Source organism: Homo sapiens, chromosome 18 (assembly GCF_000001405.40).
Source record: "Homo sapiens chromosome 18, GRCh38.p14 Primary Assembly".
Lineage (NCBI taxonomy): Eukaryota > Metazoa > Chordata > Mammalia > Primates > Hominidae > Homo > Homo sapiens.
The window spans coordinates 63,424,364-63,445,084 of NC_000018.10; the positions used below are offsets into that span (position 1 = coordinate 63,424,364).

Below are 20,721 nucleotides of genomic sequence, written 5' to 3' on the forward strand. Positions count from 1 at the left end.
AGAATTTCTTGAACCGGGACCTAGGAGGCAGAGGTTGTGGTGAGCTGAGATCGCACCACAGCACTCCAGCCTGGGCTACAGAGCGAAACTCTGTCTCAAAACAAACAAACAAAAATTAGCCAGGCGTGATGGTGCCTGCATGTAACTCCAGCTACTTGGGAGGGTGAAGCAGGAGAATCACTAGAACCCAGGAGGCAGAGATTGCAGTGAGCCAAGATCACACCACCGCACTTCAGCCTGGGCAACAGAGTGAGAATCGGTAAAAACAAACAAACAAACAAAAAACCCCTCTTTTATCACCAGTAATAAGCCATGTTGTTATGATGGAACCCCTGATGTGGAGAAGGGCACATTAGCTCTGTGGTATGCTTCCCAAACCTGTAACCTCAATCTAATCATGAGAAAACATCAGAAAAATTCATATGGAGGGTTTTTCTACTTCTACAAAATAACCAGTGCTCCTCAAAAATGTCAAGATCATAAAAGACAAGGAAAGACTGAGGAACTGTCACAGATTGTAGAGACTAAGAAGATGACAACTAAATGCAGTATGGGATTCTGGATTGGATCCTGAAACAGAAAAGGGCCATGAGTTGAAAAACTGTTGTAAGAATGAGAATAAAGTCTGCAGTTTAGCTAATAGTATTTTATCAATGTTAATTTCTTATTGTTGATAAATGTACCATGGTTATTTAAGATGTTAACAGTAGGGGAAATTGGGTGAAGAATATATGGGAATTCTCTGTATACCTTTGCAACTATTCTGTAAGAGTTTATTTTTAATTTTTATTTGTGTATTTATTTTTATTTTTTTTGAGACAAAGTCTCGCTCTGTCACCCAGGCTGGAGAGCAGTGGCACAATCTCGGCTCACTGCATCCTCCACCTCCCATAACAATTCTCCTGCCTCAGCCTCCCGAGTAGCTAGGATGACAGGCGTGTGCCACCATGCTTGGCAAATTTTTTGTGTTTTTGTAGAGATGGGGTTTTGCCATTTTGTCCAGGCTGGTCTCGAACTCCTGTCCTCAAGTGATCTGCCTGCCTCAGCCACCCGATGTGCTGGGATTACAGGCGGGAACCACCACACCCAGCCTGTAAGTATTATTTTAAAAGGAAAATTTTTCATTTTAAAATTCCTATTCCCTGGGACCTTACATTTTAGTGGAGTAGAAACTTTTAACCGTTTACATATTTAAAATGTAAATATGTTACATGTGTAAGAGTTTTGCATACATTATCTTATTGTATACGACAAGGTAAATCTTAAGTATCCCATTTTTACAAAAGAGGAAACAGGCCAGGCGCGGTGGCTCACACCTGTAATTCCAGCATTTTGGAAGGCCGAGACTGGCAGATCATGAGGTCAGGAGATTGAGACCATCCTGGCCAATATGGTGAAATGCCATCTCTACTAAAAATACAAAAACTAGCTGGGTGTGGTGGCACATGCCAATAATCCCAACTACTCGGGAGGCTGAGGCATGAGAATCACTTCAACTCAGGAGGCAGAGGTTGCAGTGAGCCAAGATCGTGCCACTGCACTCCAGCCTGGCAACAGAGCAAGACTCCATCTCAAAAAAAAAAAAAAAAAAAAAAAGAAGAAGAAGAAGAAAAAGGGAAACAGCCTCAGAGGTATCAGTAGAAATCCCCCCCAATTCATTCAGCTTTTATATGGCAGAGCTGGAGTTTGACCCAGGTCTTCTGACTCCAGGGTGACAAGTGCTAGGATAGAGGCAGGAAGTCCTGTGGGACCACAGGAGAGAGAAGGCTTAATTTTGAATGAGTGGTTAGGGATGTCTTAGGGAAAGTTCACTTAAACTGAAGTTTAAAATCTTAATCTGATTTTGACGGAGTGCAGGCCATTTCAGGCAGAAGGAAAAGCAGAAATAAAGGCGCGGAAGAATAAAGTACCTGCTCTGAGGGATCCCTGGAATGTAGGAAGCAGAGGCACTGTGGGGTTGGAGTGGCAGGAGATGAAGCTAAAAATACACCAACTGGCACTGCCAGTTAGAGGCTTGGAATAAGGAGTTTGGACATTATTCTGTAAGATAATGTTGAAAGCTTCCCTCTTCATTCTGTCACTACCTCCTGCTTTTCTGTCTTCCTGTCTTCCTTCTTGGTAGAGTTGTGATTTGGTCAGATGTTGGTTTCATGAAGGTGGATCTGACAGTCCTTTTAGGATACACCAGAAAGAGAGAGGAGGCAGTAAGATCAAATGGGAGGTTCCTGCAAGTGTTTCATTTTAGAAAACAAGGGATGCAGAGCCAAAAGGGATATTCCCAGTTCCTGCAGTGCAGCCCCCGTTCCTTGCCTCTTGGGCTTTGAAGAATAGATTCTTGCTTCTGGCCTGGTGTGGCTCACACCTGTAATCTCGGCACTTTGGGAGCCCAAGGTGGGTGGATCGCCTGAGGTCAGGAGTTTGAGACCAGTCTGGCCAACATGGTGAAACCCTGTCTCTACTAAAAATACAAAAATTAGCCGGGCATGGTGGCGGGGGCCGGTAATCCCAGCTATTCGGGAGGCTGAGGCAGGAGAATGGCTTGAACAAGGGAGGGGGAGGTTGCAATGACCTGAGATCATGCCATTGAACTCCAGCCTGGGCAACAAGAGGAGAACTCCATCTCGAGAAAAAAAAAAAAATCCTGGCTCCTTCCATTGCTTTCACCAATTCAACCTGTTAAAATCATACTATTCCTCAAGTGTCAGTTCCAATGTCACTTCTTCAGGAAACTTCTGAAATCTCTCTGAGCTCTCATCACACTTTGGACCTTGAATTGCCCTTAAATCACACATGCCAAGTGCCTAACACAGTGCCTGGTGCAGAGCAGATGCTCAAAAATTGTTGATCTTACTAGCACAGTGTTCTACTTTTCTCGATGATAAAATCCCCAAGGGCTAAGACTTCATTTTATTCCATTTACAACCTACTCCCCCTGCCTTACCACCTACAAGTACAAAGAGGGTGTGTTCTTAAATAGCTAAGGTTTGTTGAACAAAATGGAGTTTCCCTGCTGTGATCAAGGACTTCAGAAACTAGGAAGGTCAGTGGGGTGGCAGGTGGTGTTTGTGTATTCAGCCTTCGATAGGATCTCACATGCAGACCACCCAGGACTGAATTCATTTCACTCAGACCATGTTAAAGGACATGCATAATATTAATATTAAGGTCGTCCCCTCATGTGCACCCAGAAGTCAAGTCTCTACTTGTTGAGTTTTCAGCTTCCTCCCTGACCCGAAACATATGAGTCCCATGAAAGTGACTCAGGCAGTTGTCAGGCAGGAAGCTGGTTGAGCCCATCAGGTTACATTCCTTTCTGAATGTGCTCAGCTACCTTGAAGGCCCAGCCCTTTCTCACTTATTGCTATTCATTTTATTCATATGAAGCCACAGCCAGCTTGTGGACTGATAAGGAGGTGTGGGAATCAACCCATCAATGTCATTCATTCAGCCATGTGATGGAGGGCGTGGGGATGAAGCAGCAATTCCTCATTGCTAGTCATATAAGGGTGAACATGACATAAGGCATTAGCACAGAAGAAAAGACGACGGGTCTGCCCTCAAGAAGTTTGCAGGCTAGAATAAAAAAACAGAAGAAAGAAGTTTTTTTAGCTGCACCCTGGTAATTTTGTGTTTTTAGTAGAGATGGGGTTTCACCATATTGGCCAGGCTGGTCTCGAACTTCTTACCTCAGGTGATCCGCCCACCTCGGCCTCCCAAAGTGCTGGGGATTACAGGCGTGAGCCACTGTGCCTGGCCCATCTTGTTTTTATTTTATTTTATTTTATTTTTTATTTTTTGAGACAGAGTCTTGCTCTGTCGCTCAGGCTGCAGTGCAGTGGCGAGATCTTGGCTCACTGCAACCTCTGCTTCCCGGGTTCAAGCGATTCTCCTGCCTCAGACTCCCGAGTAGCTGGGACTACAGGTGCAAACCACCACACCCAGCTAATTTTTGTATTTTTTAGTAGAGACGGGGTTTCACCATATTGGCCAGGCTGGTCTCGAACTCCTGACCTTGTGATCAGCCCGCCTCAGCTTCCCAGAGTGCTGGGATTACAGGCATGAGCCATCGTGCCTGGCCTTCTTTTTACTCATATTTTCACCTGCAGTTGGTTGAGTCTGTGGATGTGGATTTATGGATTTATATGCTTTATAAAAGCATATAAAACAAGGTATTCTTCTGTTGTATGTGTTGCACATATTTTACCTGTTAGTATTTGGGTCATTACTTTTTTGGCATGAAAATTTATTATTCTTTTTCTTTTTTGCTGTGTTGAGAAAGAGCTTACCCACTAGTAGATTATTTAAAACAACAACATCATACCTTTATCTTCTTCCAGTGTGTTCAGGGTTTCACTATTGCATCTAAATCTTTGACTTGTCTGGAATTTATTTTGGTGTTTTATTTATTCCAAATGAGTAGCCAATTGTTCCAATATTATTTAGTTAACATTCATCTTTTCTTCACTCATTTGAAAGGGCAGCCCTTATTGTGTACCATTTTCTCACAAGGATTTGTCTGAATTCTTGATGATGTTTTAACTATTCCTTTTAACCACCTATTCTTACTCCAACAAAACTTATTACAATGGCTTTATAATACATTTCAGTATCTTGTGAGACTGCCCAATTTCTTCTAAGCAGAATGCAACACTAGTTAAGGGCTCAGTTTCTGATATCAGAATGCTTGCTTCAATTTTTATTTTTTATTTTTTGAGATGGAGTTTTGCTCTTGTTGCCCAGGCTGGAGTGTAATGATGCGATCTCAGCTCACTGCAACCTCTGCCTCCTGGGTTCAAGCGATTCTCCTGCCTCAGCCTCCCAAGTAGCTGAGACTACAGGTGCCCGCCACCACGCCCAGCTAATATATTGTATTTTTAGTAGAGACGGGGCTTCACCATGTTGACCAGGCTGTTCTCGAAATCCTGACCTCAGGTGATCTGTCTGCTTCAGCCTCCCAGAGTACTGGGATTACAGGCATGAGCCACCACGCCACCTTCAGAATCTTGACTCTAGCACATAGTAGGCAATTACTCAATCTCTCTAAACTGCTGTTTCTGCATCTGTAAAATGGGGGTGGTATTACTCTCTGTCTACTGGGGCTACATGAGAATTAAATGAGATTAGAACATCACAGAATTGGGCTCAAAACATAGTTAACACTCATTAAATGTTTGCTATCAAAAATTTTCAGAATAGTTCAGATTTTTCTTACATTACTTTTCCACATGAATTTTAGTATTATTTGTCAAATTCCACCTAAAACATTTATTTATTTTGTAATTGAATTGATATATTAATTCAGAGTAGATGGACACATCGTTATAGAAATGAGTTTCCCTCAGGTTTAAAAATCATGATACGTCTTTCTTCAAGTCTTCTTGTATGCTTTTTTTTTTGACAGGTCTCGCTCTGTCACCCAGGCTGGAGTGCAGTGGGGTGATCTTGGCTCACTGCAACCTCCACCTCCCTGGTTCAAGCTATTCTCCTACCTCAGCCTCCTGAATAGCTGGGACTACAGGCATGCACCACCATTCCTGGCTAATTTTTGTATTTTTAATAGAGACGGGGTTTCACCATGTTGGTGAGGCTGGTCTTGAACTCCTGACCTCCTGATCTGCCCACCTCAGCCTCCCAAAGTGCTGGGATTATAGGCATGAGTCATGGCACCCGGTTTCTTGTATGCTTCTTAGCAGTGTTTTATATTTTTCTTCACATGGTTTCTGAACATTTGATTTGGATTTATCTCTAGGAATTTCACTGTGCTATTGTTGCTATCACAAGTAATATATTTTCTTCCCATATTTTCTAGCAGATTATGGTTTATATACAGGAGACCATGAATATATGCAGGTTGATTTTGGCAGACACTTTGTTTCTAATAGATCATCTACCTGTTCTCTGAGGGTTTCTAGGCAAATGATGAAAACTTCTGCAAACAATGATACCTTTGCCTCTTTCCCATACAAAGTTAAAAGTGTCAAGAATAGACATCCTTATATTCTCCCAAAGTTTAAAGAAAATCCTTCTAGTGTCTTATGAAGAATCATTTAACACATGAAATATGATTATATTAGTTTTCTATTACTGCATAACAAATTAGCACAAACTCAGTGGCTTAAAACGACATACTTTTATTGTCTCACAGTTTCTGTGGATCGAGAAGCCAGGCCCAGCTTAGCTATGTTGTGTGCTCAAGGTCTCACAAGGCTGAGATCAAGGTGTAGGCTGGGATGCATTTTCATCAGTAGGCTCAACTAGGGATGGATATGCTTCCAACTGCCTATGATTGTTGTCAGAATTCATTTCCCTGGAGCTGTAGAATTCATGACAGCTGATAACCTGCTTCTTGAAAGCCACACACACACACACACACACACACACACACACGCACACACATGCACACACACGCAGAGTTTCTGCTGCTTCAAGTCTCTTACTTTAGGGAAAGCTCATACCCTCTTTAAAGGGCTCACCTGACTAGGTAGGACTCACTGAGGATAATCATCCTTTTGATGAATTCAAAATCAACTACTTAGGTGCCTTAATTACATCTACAAAATCCTTTCACCTTTGCCATATTCTATTGGTTTGAAGCAAGTCACGGGTTCTGCCTGCACTCAAGGAGAAGGAAATTACACAGAGGTATGACTTACTGGGGTGTATCTGCTACAGTAATATTTCAGAACACATCTCTATAAAGGAGATAGGAAAAATTAATATTCTGCTCTTAACATAAGAGAAATGTGTAAGATTTCATATTCTAAATGCTATGCTCACAAGCAACTATAAAATTTTTGTTGGTGCTATATAGATGTGAATATGTAATTTACATTTTATAAGACTAAGACAACTGTTGCATTTATTTAGATATCAACAATAGATAATAAAAAAGAGGAGTGACCAAAGGCAGATGCTTATAAAGAAAGGTAAAGCACTGCCTTGGGACATTGTATGGAGGGGAAGCATTTGGTTTAGAAAAGAGGAATTAGTTTTCCATATCTTGGAAATATGCTGACCAATACATATTCCAGCAGCAAAATTCATCTGGATCTACAAGCTCTTATTGTCCACTGAGTGCCTCTTCTCCAGAGTAACTCATTCCAGTTGTCTTTTGGATTGGCAAAATTTGGAGTGCCAAGATTGCTGTCACTAAATCAACACGCAGATCTAGGGTGAGAGTATTGGAGTGGAATCATTTTTATTCCAAAAATCCACCTCTTTATTTCTCATGGACTAGTTTCAGGAGAATTTAGGTTCAATTTCAGGAGTCCCCCCAGCACCAAATGGTACAATCTCCTAAATAGCAACAATGCCATCATCAGGCTAATGATTGGCTACATGAGCAAAGGAATTTTGCATATCATTGTCTAACTGCATATTTTCCCAGGAATTATAGTCTACATTAGTTGTTCATTGTCCGATTTGATTGCTAAATCAAGTCAACAAGATTAAGCAGAAATAAGTGAAGACATCATAAGAGTAGGAATTATGTATCAGAGAGGGCTCAAATATGATGCCTATAATGTTTGTTTAGTAATTTTTTTTCCTGAAAATTGTATAATGCTCTCTTACTCTGTCACCAGGCTAGAGTGCAGTGGTACGAACATAGATCATATCTCACTGTAGCCTGGAACTCCTGTGCTCAAGCCATCCTCCTGCCTCAGCCTCCCAAGTAGGAGGGATGAGAGGTGTGCAGCACCATGCTCAGGTCCTTCACTTTTTACAAGCTCATTTGTATCAACTTCACGCAAATCTTTCCTGAGACCTTAAGCTTTGCTTCCATCTCTCTTTTCTTCCTTTTCAAAGTGCATAACTTTATATCATTTCTTGATACTGCAGCCATTTTTAAAAAGAATATAACTGTCATGGCTGGGTGCAGTGGCTCATGCCTATAATCCCAGCACTTTCGGAGGCCGAGTGGGGTGCGGATTGCTTTGAGCTCAGGAGTTTGAGACCAGTTTGGGCAACATGGTGAAACCCCACCTCTGCAAAAAATACAAAAATTAGCCAGGCGTGGTGGTGCATACCTGTGATCCCAGTTATTCAGGAGGCTGAGGCTGAAGAATCGCTTGAGCCTGGGAGGTGGAGGTTGCAGTGAGCCAAGATCATGGCACTGCACTACAGCCTGGGCAACAGAGTGAGACCCTGTCTGGAAAAAAAAAGAAAAAAGAAAATAAAAAACATCTAAAAAAAATTGGCTATAAAAACAAAAAGAATATAACTGTCAGGAAAAAAATAAGCTGTGGTTGTGGTTTTGTGTGGAACACACAGAGAAGCCTTATGATTTAATTACTAGCTAAACTTTTAGTAAACGGCCCTTAGGTAAATTTTTGAGTAACAGATTAGGGTAATACTCTGGGTAGTAGGAAGTAAGGAAACAGGACTGGGGGCCGCTGAAAAAGGTCACCCCAATTGGAACCTTAAGATTGAAAATCAGCTGGTTACCTTCTTTGTAATTTATCAGTTTCCCTATGAAAAACCAAAAATTGCCAAACTTCAACAATGTTTTATTAGAAGTTGCTGTTTCAGGGCACTTGAAGGTCAATATTTTAAGTACATAAGACATTCAATACTCCTATTTATGCTTTAGCTGTAATAATGTTGGGCTTTGAAATCAAAACATGGGATAGAATTCTTATTTATATGTGTAAATAGATGTGAACCCTGGGACTCAAAGAAGAGACGATAGAATTCATGGCACAGCTGTGTTAGAACCAATAATGGTTTTCAATCACTTGGTCAGATAGTGTTAGTTGAGACTCTGTCAGGTATGCAGCACTTAAATTTGATGTTTAAGAGAAATGAGTCCCAGACAGAAGTCAAACATGGCCCCTTCTTGAAAACTTCTAAAACGACTGAAAAAATAAAGCAGATATATACCGAAGGCAGTCTTTATGGGTCAAAACGAATGATAAATACATTTTACGGCTTATAAGTTATAAACAAGCAGTGAGAGATGTTGGTTTCAGTGATCATGGAAAGGGCTGGGCCTGAATTATGCCTAGAGAAGAAACTGGATACAATGAAAGAATTTACTTATTCATGTAAAGGCACTCGGTGCTACCAAAGAGAGTTGTCTTTTCATATTATTCAAATCGTAATTCCAAAATGGAAGTCTTGGAAGCCCAAATGTTTACTCATAATCTTGGCCAAATTCCACCTTGGAGGAGTAAGTTAAAAACCACAGCCAATTCAATTATTTAATTTCACTGTATTAAACCTCAAGGTTGCCAAATGATCTCATTACCAAATTATATCCTAAGGTTGTCCTGGGAAAATAAGCTCTTCTATGCCAGACAAACTATTCCCAAGGGCAATTCTTGGCCAGTGATATTTTCGAAGTTGCAAAATGGCTGTGTTTTTCATTGGAAAATTCCATCCTCCGCCCCTGGTCCTCTTGGAGAATTCTGTAGCTTACCTAACCTAGCACAACAAAGCATTGGGCCAAAGAGTATCATGCAAAACACACTCAGTAACATGTGAATGACCACTAGTTGCAGTCTGAAAAACAAATTTGTCATAGATTTTGTAAAGATGCAAATTGGGTCTGCAAAAATCATATGAGAAACAGTGGATTCCAGTATTAATCACAAGTGCCTGTCATATAGTCTGGTTTTTTTTGTTTTTGTTTTTTTGAGATGGAGTCTCGCTCTCTTGCTCAGGCGGGAGTGCAGTGGCACAGTCTTGGCTCACTGCAACCTCCGACTCCCAGGTTCAAGCAATTCTCCTGCCCCAGCCTCCTGAGAACTGGGATTACAGGTGCGCACCATCATGCCCGGCTAATTTTTGTATTTTTGGTAGAGACAGGGTTTCACCATGTTGGTCAGGCTGGTCTCGAACTGCTGACCTCATGATCCGCCCACCTCAGCCTCCCAAAGTGGTGGGATTACAAGTGTGAGCCACCACACCCAGCCTCTCATATAGTCTTATGATTAGGCATTCACAGGTTATTAAAATGCTGTAGTAAGAGATGTTATGCTTGGGAACATTACCAATAAAGACATGAAAAGACAGAAATGTTTTGCTTTCACTCCTTGTGTTTTAGGGCTCATTTTTTCCAATGGAGGGACTTTGTAGTAGCAAAAGGTTCAGGTTCCCTCTTAAAAGAGAAAATATACTACCCCTATCAAGGTAAGGAATACCCCTAAGCAAAGTAGTCTTATTGTGCCAGGGACAAGTGAGAAACTCCAGGAAAGGGATATTATAAGAGCCCCTAAGGGGTTGATTTAGGTCAGGGGAAATGTATACCTTGGAGGGAGATGGAAACATTAACTTGTTTAGAAGTTGGCTCTCTTCAAAGACCCCAGAGTGTAAAGTATCATGTAATTGATCCAAGTGGCCAATATGTCAATCAACAAATCTAAATTGAGTTGACTATTATGTGAAAGGTACCTAACTCTCCAAGCTCCTTCTAAATTTCCCTAAAAGGGAAGCATTGGGCATTGATTGTCTAACTCATGAGTATTAACAACACAGATATATTTTAGAAGTACCAACAGTGACATTGTAATTTTATGGTGTTGTGTCTACACATTGTAATGTTGTGCAAAGAGCTCTCTCTGGAGTCCAGAAGTCCTAAGTTCTAAGCCTGCCTCTTCCACTCAACAGCTTTGGTGCCTTTCTCAGAGAGTAAAGGAAGGGGTTTGGATGAAAGGAGTCTGATGGAATCAGAAGACTTCAGTTCTATACTCAGCTATCCCACTGCCTTACCTTTTGACTTTGGGAAGGTCACTTAGCTTCTCTCTTTTGTCTTTAGTTTGCTTGTCAGTGAAGAGAAAAAGCTACATCACCTCTAAGTTATCTTGCTGCTTTAAATCAGTCCCTTGAAGCAGAAAATAATTATATCACTTGAAATTACTGTGGATGCTTAAAGTTGCACCTATGCTTTTATGCCTGCCTCTTGAGACTCCATGGTATAACAGAAAGTATTAGAGATTTTGAAGTGAGACTCAAGAACAGGCAATTACCTGGCTCATAGCAGACACTCAGTAACTGGTGGTGCTTTTTATTTTTACCTCTATGAACTACTTGATGCCAAGGTGTAGCATTATTCCTATGGGAAAATAAAGTAGACCGTATAACAGTCTCCTGTTTCTAGGGCATCACTGCGGCAGACACAGCATAATGCTATCTTATGTAATGTAGACTGTCAGGTATGAAATTGTAGGGAAACTTATTAATGGAGCCCAGTACTTTACAAAGGTATTGAATGTTACCTTTGTAAGGTCTCTCACTCAGATCTTGCAGTGAATTCTGACACTTAATGCCCAAGGCTTCTCCATGTAGTCGGGTCAGCTCTGATAGGCTCCAAGTTAGGGATATTCTACCGATTGAGTAAAGCTGCTCCTCTGCTTGGTGTTTTTCTCCATCCTTCTTTTCGGGCTCCTCTTTTTCACCAGCATCCCCAGCACATCACGCCCCCACTGCTCTGTGTTTCTGCATTTTTACCACATCGTGGATACTGTTGGATGCTTCCTTTTTCTTATTTTATTTTATTTTATTTTATTTTATTTTATTTTATTTTGAGACAGAGTCTTGCTCTGTCACCCAGGCTGGAGTTCATTGGTGCTATCTCAGTTCACTGCAAGCTCCGCCTCCCAGGTTCATGCCATTCTCCTGCCTCAGCCTCCGGAGTAGCTGGGACTACAGGTGCCCGCCATCACACCTGGCTAATTTTTGCATTTTTAGTAGAGATGGCGTTTCACCATGTTAGCCAGGCTGGTCTTGAACTCCTGACCTCAGGTGATCTGCCCACCTTGGTCTCCCAAAGTGCTGGGATTAAAGGTGTGAGCCACTGCGCCTGGCCAATGCTTCCTTTTTATTTTAGGAAAACAGAACAGCATGCGGGTTTCTGCCAACAGTGGCCACTGCCCTTCATCTCCTGTGCACCACCAGTGACCCTTATAACGTGCAAAGTTATAAACCCTTTCCATGTCATGCAGTGCTTGCTTTTGGAATCAACTTTAGATTAGTTCATTTATCCCATTTGGAGCACCTGTCATTTGCTATTCTCGGACCTGGGACTTCTTGTTGGCACTCAGAAATGAGCATTCATTCGTGGTGTTTCCAGCTTTCACAGTTTCACAGGGAACTCCCTGTGTAGGGCATGATCCCTATTTTCAAAGAGCTTACAATCTATTCACATATGGAGAAATAAGCAATACACAATCCTGTGTAATAACGGCGAGTAGTGTTACAAGCAGGAACTTCAGGAAGGAGAAGAGACTGTTTTGGGCTGGGCTGGGCTGGCTACTAAGAGGAATTCATTACTGAGCTGCCTCTCGGTAGTGGGAGAGGAGAAGCTGGGCTTTTCAAGAGCAGAAAGGCAGGGGCCAAGGTGGGTGGCAGGATGGGGCCAAGGTGGGTGGCAGGATGGTGCCAAGAATGTGGTCTGTGGAGATTCTTCCCTAGAGAAGTTTTAAAGAAAATTATTTTCCAATCAATTCATAAGCTCATCTCTGCTGTGGACATTCTTTTTACTCTAACCCAGAGAAGAAAAGCAGGTATCAGGTACTGGATGCCTGAGCCTGGCTAGACCACATAGCGACATTAAGTCCCGTTTCATCACCAGTTAATGTCAATATCATACGGTTAGTGTGACAGCTAAGATGCAGCATGTGACGATACTGAGAGGCCGCAGGTTCTTGATGAAGAAATATGTATATGACAAGTTGGGATTGGGATATATTTATCTCTGTAATTTATTTTTATTTATTTTATTCATTTATTTATTTATTTTTTGCAATGGAGTCTCGCTCTGTCTCCCAGGCTGGAGTGCAGTGGTGCGATCTTGTCTCCTGCAACCTCTGCCTCCCAGGTTCAAGCGATTCTTGTGCCTCAGCCTCCCAAGTAGCTGGGACTACAGGTGCACGCTGCCATGCCTGGCTAATTTTTTGTATTTTAGTAGAGACAGGGTTTCACTGTGTTGCCCAAGCTGGTCTCGAACTCCTGAGCTCAGGCAATCTGCCCGCCTCGGCCTCCCAAAGTGTTGGGATTACAGGCGTGAGCCACTGCGCCTGGCCTATCTCTGTAATTTATTAATCTTATGTAATTTTTTTTTTTAAAGAGACAGGATCTCGCTCAGTAACCCACGCTGGAGTGCAGCACTGCCATCATAGCTCACTGCAGCCTCAAATTCCTGGGCTCCAGCAATCTCACCTCAGCCTTTCAGGTAGCTGGGACCACAGGCATGTGCCATGATGCCTGGCTAATTATTTATTTTTTTGTAGCGATGAGAGTCTCACCATGTTGCCCAAGCTGGTCTTGGACTCCTGGCCTCCAGCAATCCTTCCACCTTGGCCTCCTAAGGTGCTAGGATTATATGCCTGAGCCACAGCCCCTGACCAATCTTATATAATTTTATATAAGCATTTATTTTCAAATTAATGCGCATACTTATGTGAATAAATCTAAACAAATAGGTTTCCTAGCTCTTTTTTTTCTGAAATATTTCTGTGATGGATTGAAAGAAATTTAAAAAATAATTTTAAAGAAATCTTATCAAATGTTTTAGCTCTGAAAACAGAAAATTGTGTCTGGATTGCTGCTGTAACAATGTAACACCAACAGAATGGCTTCAAACAACAGAAATGGAGCCTGGGGCATGGTGGTTCATGCCTGCAATTCCAGCACTTTGGGAGGTGAAGGCAGGAGGATTGCTTGAGCCTGGGAGTTTGAGACCCCCAGCCTCCACAGCATGGTGAAACTCTGTCTCTACAAAAAGTAGATTTTAAAAAAAGAAAATAAACTTGTCTGGCATGGTATATGCCTGTAGTCCTAGCTACTTGGAAGGCTGAGAAGGGGGGATAGCTTGAGCCTAGGGGTTTGAGGCTGCAGTGAGCCATGATTGCATCACTGCACTCCAGTCTGGGTGACAGAGCAAGACCCTGTCTTAAAAATAAAACCAACCAAACAAAAACCAACAGAAATATATCCTGTCACTGTCCTGGAATCTGGAAGTCTGAAAATCAGGGCAATGCTCCCTCTGAAGGCTCTAGTGAAGGATCCTGCCTGGCCTAATTCTAGTTTCCGGTGGTGGCTGGCAACCCTTGGTTCTCCTTGGCTTACAGACAAATCACTCCATCTCTGCCTCCATCGTCATCACATCATGTTCTCCCTCTGTGTCTGAGTCTCTGTGCCCAAATTTCCCTCTTTTTTTTTTTTTTTTTTTTTTTTTTTGAGACAGAATCTTACTCTGTCACCCAGGCTGGAGTGCAGAGGTGCGATCTTGGCTCACTGCAACCTTCACCTCCCTGGTTTAATTGATTCTCCTGCCTCAGCCTCCTGAGTGGCTGGGACTACAGGCATGCACCACCATGACCAGCTAATTTTTGTATTTTTAGTAGAGACGGGGTTTTCCCAAGTTGGCCAGGCTGGTCTTGAACTCCTGACATCAGGTGATCCACCCGCCTCAGCCTCCCAAAGTGCTGGGATTACAGGCATGAGCCACCAGCGCCAGCCAAAATTTCCCTCTTCTGACAAGGATACCAGTCAGCAATCAAGAACCCTGAGCAATGGCAACATGAACTGAAGCTAATTCATGATCCAAATATTACTAAATGGTTCCAAGGAGAAGCAGTATCTAGAGACAGTTAGCTTCAGATGAGTAACTGCCATGAAGAGCATTCTGACACAACGTGAAATATTGACTTCCAGGTCAACCTTTTGTTATAAATATTCTGTACAAATGACAGGATAAAGCTCCTTTATAAATAAAGTAATTACCTCAGAAAATTTAAGAATTTCACTCTTCTGTGTCTAGTGGTCTGACAAAGGAATTAAAATTATTTTAAAAATTGTGATTCAAAGGGTTTTAGAAAAAAATAAAAGCAGTTCAAATACTGTTGCTCCTTTTAATGGTTTTTTTTTTTTTTTGGTCATTGGATCAATCCCCAAATACCAGTTTCATCTGCAAATTTTAAAGAAATTCTCCCACTCTTGAATTAATTTTATTTTCTTAGTTCAGTCAATCTATCTCTTAATTAACTAACAATCCAGAATGTATTAAAGACAATCTGTATTCGTTAGTTTTCCAGTTTTTTGGTCTTAAGTGTGGTAAGAATGCCCTCTACTGGCAATGCCCCGAAAATACAGTTCTCTATCCGTGCAGCTGGAACAGGGGGATTCAACGGTAAGCAGCTTGCCTTTCCTTGTAGCCTTCCTTGAAAATTGCCAGAGGTAGTAGGCTCAGGGCTAGCAACACCGAAAGGCACAGATTAGGAAACCCACTGTGAAGTAAGCCTTGGCCCACAGCCCTCTGGGTTGAATTGAAAAACGCTTACTTCTCTACAGAGCAATGCTGTTCAATAGAAAAATAATGCAAGCTACAAGTGTGAGCCACATATATGATTTCAAATTTTCTAGTGGTCACATTAAGACAAGTGTAAAGAAACAAGTGAAAATAATTTTACAAATGTATTTTTATTAACCTAACATATTCAAAATATTGTAATTTCAACATGTAATCAATATAAAAAATTAATGAGACATTTTCAGTGTTTTTGTTGCACTGATCTTTGAAATCCGGTGTGTACTTTCCACTTGCAGCGCATCTCCATGTGGACTAGACACATGTCAAGTGTTTAGTAGCCCCATGGGGCTGGTGGTTGTTGTGCTGGACAGTACAGGACCGACTCCAGAAACAAAGACAAGACGTGAGGGATATGACTTTACCTGCTTCACAATTTATAATTCATAGCTCAGGGCAATACCTTACCATTTTCCTGAAATCCGTCTAGAAGAAGACCATTATACATTCATACATTCGCTTGCAAGAATCTAGAGGTCAATATTGTGTTTGTATCATTTTTGGCGCAACAACAATTATACAAAGTAGCAGCACCAGAACTCTGGAAGGTGGATTGACATTATGTATCCAGAGCTTACAAACATTCACAGCTTCCAGATCAGCAGTTATATTGATGGAGATTGTGGCAGTGAAATATGAGCACAGCTCTGGCTTTGGGGGCCAAGTTCCTGTTTGCTGGGTTGGGCTGTGTCTCTTTGCTGGGCTGGACTGCATTTCTGCTCCCAACTCTGGCAAGACTGGGCTCTCAGGATGGCTGTAACCCTCAGCAGCACATGTCCAGTCATCCCTGACAGGCCTGCTTTGGCCTGGGCCCAGGAACACTGACACTCCTTCGGACTGCTGGTCACACTTTTGGCTTGCTTTTCTTTCCCTTTCCCTTGGGGTCTGAGGTTGGGTGGGATGGGCTAGTTAAAAATTAGATGCATCCATAAAATTAAACTAGTAATCAACATGTATAATTTTACTAATAAGTGTATAATGAAACTAATTAAATGTATTATTGTTCATGAAGGTCTTTGTCCTCCAGGCTGTTTCGTTGGTTCTAATGAGAGGGAGCCGTGGGTTATGGTGAAAGGGCATGGCTTTTCTGGACCTTCTGCCCTGGAAGGGGTATCTACCCAGAGGAGATAGACAGAGATGCAGAGCAAGATCCATGGATAAATCTATTCAACCAGCCTTTTTTATATTAGGAACAAATAGAAACAAATATTCAACAGTAGGAAATTGCTTAAAAATATGACATTTCCATATGATGGAAATTATGTAGCTTTCAAATAAGGTTTCAATTAATGTTTTCCCTCTTTTGTTTTGTTTTGTTTTATCCATGACTCCATGACACCCGAGTTTTGTAGGGTTTATTATGAAAAGCATCAGCCCCTTTCCCTTTCACTTCTCCCCTCCCCAGATGTCTCACTACCTCTGAACTGGTCATTTTGAAATTTACTTCCAGTTCTCCAAATTAGCCACATGTATTTCTGTTTGTAGATTTTCGGCTTTAGTCATTATGTATTGGCTCTTAGTTCTGGAGGAGGCACTGAGCTTCTTCCCTTCCCATCCCCACCGTGAATGCTCACCTCTCCCGTTTCCTTGCCCTTCTCTCTCCTACGGCTTCAGCCTCCTCAGGCTGGGTGCTGCTTTTGCTTTTTTTTTTTTTTTTTTTTGAGACGGAGTCTTGTTCTGTCACCCAGGTTGGAGTGCAGTGGCATGATCTCGGCTCACTGCAACCTCCATCTCCCAGGTTCAAGTGATTCTCCTGCCTCAGCCTCCCAAGTAGCTGGGATTACAGGCATGCACCACCACGCCCAGCTAATTTTTGTATTTTTAGTAGAGACGGGGTTTTACCATGTTGGCCAGGATGATCTTGATCTCCTGACCTTTTGATCCACCTGCCTTGGCCTCCCAAACTGCTGGGATTACAAGTGTGCTGCTCTCTTTCTACCCACGCTTTGCCCTGACATTTGTCTCACATCAGATTGCGGTCATCCATTTCGTTGTTCATCTTCTTTGAGGACAGTCTATGCCTTTCCACTCTGTCTTGGGTGTCTGATGTATTCCAGACACTCAGTGTTTGAGGAAAACCAAACAAGGCATGTGGAAGCCCCTAGGCTGCTGCTTTAAGAAGGGCATGGAATGCTAGCAGCAAGTAAAGCCACCCCACCAGGAACTTACAAGGCAAGGGACTACCCTGCTGGTCTCCACCATCTCTCCAAACATGTTATAGCTTAACCAGCATTCCTCACCCTCCCAAGACTTCACTTTTATGTTGAGGCTTCTCTTTTCTCCCTGTCTTTATATTGGTCAACTTTCTCCCCAAGTCTGCCTATAATTGGGAAAGCAAAAAGTAAATCAAAATCAAGAACGTTTAAAATGAATAGTCTCATTGAACTATCCCAAGTGGAGCTGAATTTTCTCCTGAAATAAGATATAGAATGGTGAAGCTTTTAGATTGGGCCTTGAAGATCAGGAAAGACATCAACAGAAGAAGATAGGGCTTATTTTGCCAAAGGGTGGTCCCAGTAGTAATCCTTTGAGGCAGCGGAGTGGGGTGTGTTCCAAGGAAAGCCACCTGTTTATGTTAGTTATAAGTTAACTGTATTTGTAATAGAGATTAGGCCATAATATTGTTGCTGTTTAGATTTGATGCACTCTGGTCTTCCAGAGGAGCTTGTATATATCTGTGAAGTTTGTGAGTTGAATGTTCGTAAATAGAGAATCTGCTAGATTCTACTGCATACCAATTTTAGGACAGGCACCATTATTGATCCTGGAGATAGAAGCAATAAAAAAAGACATGGATCTTACAGTTCAGTAGGTGAGATAATCACAGATAATGAAATAGGTAATCATGTACAATAAATGCTATGATGAGAAGCTTCTGTGAGAGTGTTTAAAGGAAGAAGGAGGAGGAGGGGTGGTTAGGGAACGCTTCCCTTGAGGGAGGACTGGCCAAAACTCACCTTTCATTAGAGAAGATTGTAAGGGGATGTGGTGCCAGTGGGCCAAAGTCAAATTCCAAGTATTAAAGTGTATGGAGATGGGACAGGTATACAAAGAAATGTCTGAAAATACAGGTTAAATCATGCATGTAATGTTATACATTTTCAAAAATCAGATATACAAAAATGTAACTTTTTTGATAACTGAATTTAGTTCTCATAAAGGGAAAAATAGTCTGGCTACTTTTAAGTATATCCAGCTACATTCAGTAATTTGGGGGCATTACTGATTTAAAGCTTTGTCACAATTGGAACAAGCTCAACCATATTCAGGATGATCACTTCAGGCACTATTCCTCTCCCTGGGATAGATATTAGGATGTGAGCTTTGCATCTGAGGCACAATAGACCCCTGGCAGGGGGTGGCCATGGGTATGTCCAGATGCCCTCCCAAGCCTAGACACACTCTTTTTTCTTTTCTTTTCTTTTTCTTTCTTTCTTTTTTTTTTGAGACAGAGTCTCACTGTTACCCAGGCTGGGTATAATGGTGTGATCTCGCCTGACTGCAACCTCCACCTCCTGGATTCAAGTGATTCTCCTGCCTCAGCCTCCTGAGTAGCTGGAATTACAGGCACGTGCTACCATGCCTGGCTAATTTTTGTATTTTTAGTAGAGACGGGGTTTCACCATGTTGGCCAGGCTGGTCTTGAACTCCTGACCTCAGGTGATCCACCTGCCTTGGCCTCCCAAAGTGCTGGGATTACAAACATGAGCCACGGTGCTCGGCCTAGACACACTCTTGTACTGCCATTACCCCTCCAGGGTTGTCATGACCTGTAACCCCAGGGGGGACTTTTTGGTAGAGACTTGCTGTCTCCCTGGGCCTCCTCCAGCATTTGAGGCTCAGGCCCTTCTTGTTCTTGGATTTTGAAAGTGAAAAGGGAGCTTTATTGTGTGTTGCTACTTCTCCTTCCACCCCCAACTCGACTTACCAAATGAAGGGCAAATTTTGTGGCCCCTACACTGACTCTTACCCTCTTACTTTCTTTCCAAGGCTTCTTCCTCTGTCATCCAAATCAGAGGGTCTTTTGTTTTATTGGAGTGGGAGTGGGGCCTAGGAGAACTGGGTCTTCTCTGTTATGCCTTCTTTAAAATACTTTCTGCTTTACTCCTTTCAACACCTTTGCTTGCTAATCGTGGCCATGCCTGGGCTCGTGGGAGAGCCTGAGAGTGTAAGGGAAAGAGGCATTATTGGGTTATTGGGTGTACCTGCCTGGAGGTGGCTGCCACACCCAATAACGCATACTCCAAAACACAGACACCCCTCTCTGTTCACAGGAGAACAGGGCTTCTAAAACGGCCCATAGTGGTAGGGTGGTGAACAGAGGTGATGTGTGCCTCAGGGAGAACTAATCAGGGCAGAGAAGCAAGCGGGAAAGAAATAGTAAAGTCAGGGTGAGAGGTTTGCACCTGGAGGGCAGCGATGGTAGTTACCTAAAATGAGCAATGAGTCAAGGGCGTGTCATGGTACAGGCGGGGGAATCCTGAGTGTGCAGAACTTTACCTTATGTTCTATGAGCCATTTGAAGCATAGTTCTTTTTTTTTTTCTTTTTGTCCCTTTGAGATGGAGTCTTGCTCTGTCGCCCAGGCTGGAGTGCAGTGGTGCGATCTCAGCTCACTGCAAACTCTGCCTCCTGGGTTCAAGAAATTCTCCTGCCTCAGCCTCCCGAGTAGCTGGGATTACAGGCGCCTGCCACCATGCCCAACTGATTTTTGTATTTTTAGTAGAGATGGGGTTTCACCATGTTGGCTAGGCTGATCTCGAACTCCTGACCTCAAGTTATCCACCTGCCTCGGCTGAGATTATAGGTGTGAGCCACCTCATTCAGCCTGAAACATAGTTCTAAAAAGCTTATTTTTCATTCCTTTTTTTTCCTGTTTATTCAATTTAACAAGTGTTGTGGTTGGAAATATAGATTGCTTATTTCTTGAGTACTTACTTTTAAACCTGAGTGAATGCCTAGACATTTGAAAACTCAATAAATTAAAAGCACGTGGTAGCTTATAGAAATATTACAACACACACACACACCCAGTATGTCTGAGTGAGTCAAACGGAGTGTCTTTGCAAAATGTGCTGTCTGAATGAGACAGCGATTATGTCACTCATTGGCAATAAACACTTGTGGAGCCATCACTGAGGCTGACAGGAAGTTAAAAAAAGAGTCTCTGGGGAAACAGCTTGTTCTGCTTCTGATTCCATGAGATGTAACTATGTCTCTCGAAATGCGTACATATATATTTTATTACTTATTACCACATAAAACTTCATCCCTAAGGTAGGGTGCCCATCGTGATGATGGATTTGAGTACTAGCATTCATTCTTCAAAGGCACAGTTCAGCAACCCCATTCCTGGGGTGAATATGCGCCTGAAATGGGAGCTATTTTCTTTAATGGCCAAAACCCCCCACAGAA

General features: G+C 42.3%; 2 annotated features.

Moving 5' to 3' along the window:
- Positions 2,754-3,953: an enhancer, noted in NCBI's record as "BRD4-independent group 4 enhancer chr18:61094350-61095549 (GRCh37/hg19 assembly coordinates)". NCBI's record gives its function as "activates an origin of replication core promoter dependent on BRD2, P300/CBP, MED14 and CDK7 cofactors, and independent of BRD4, by STARR-seq in HCT116 cells {active_cell/tissue: HCT116}" and the evidence as "EXISTENCE:reporter gene assay evidence [ECO:0000049][PMID:35650434]".
- Positions 20,378-20,487: a silencer, noted in NCBI's record as "silent region_9530". NCBI's record gives its function as "represses an Ori minimal core promoter by ATAC-STARR-seq in GM12878 lymphoblastoid cells {active_cell/tissue: GM12878}" and the evidence as "EXISTENCE:reporter gene assay evidence [ECO:0000049][PMID:35858748]".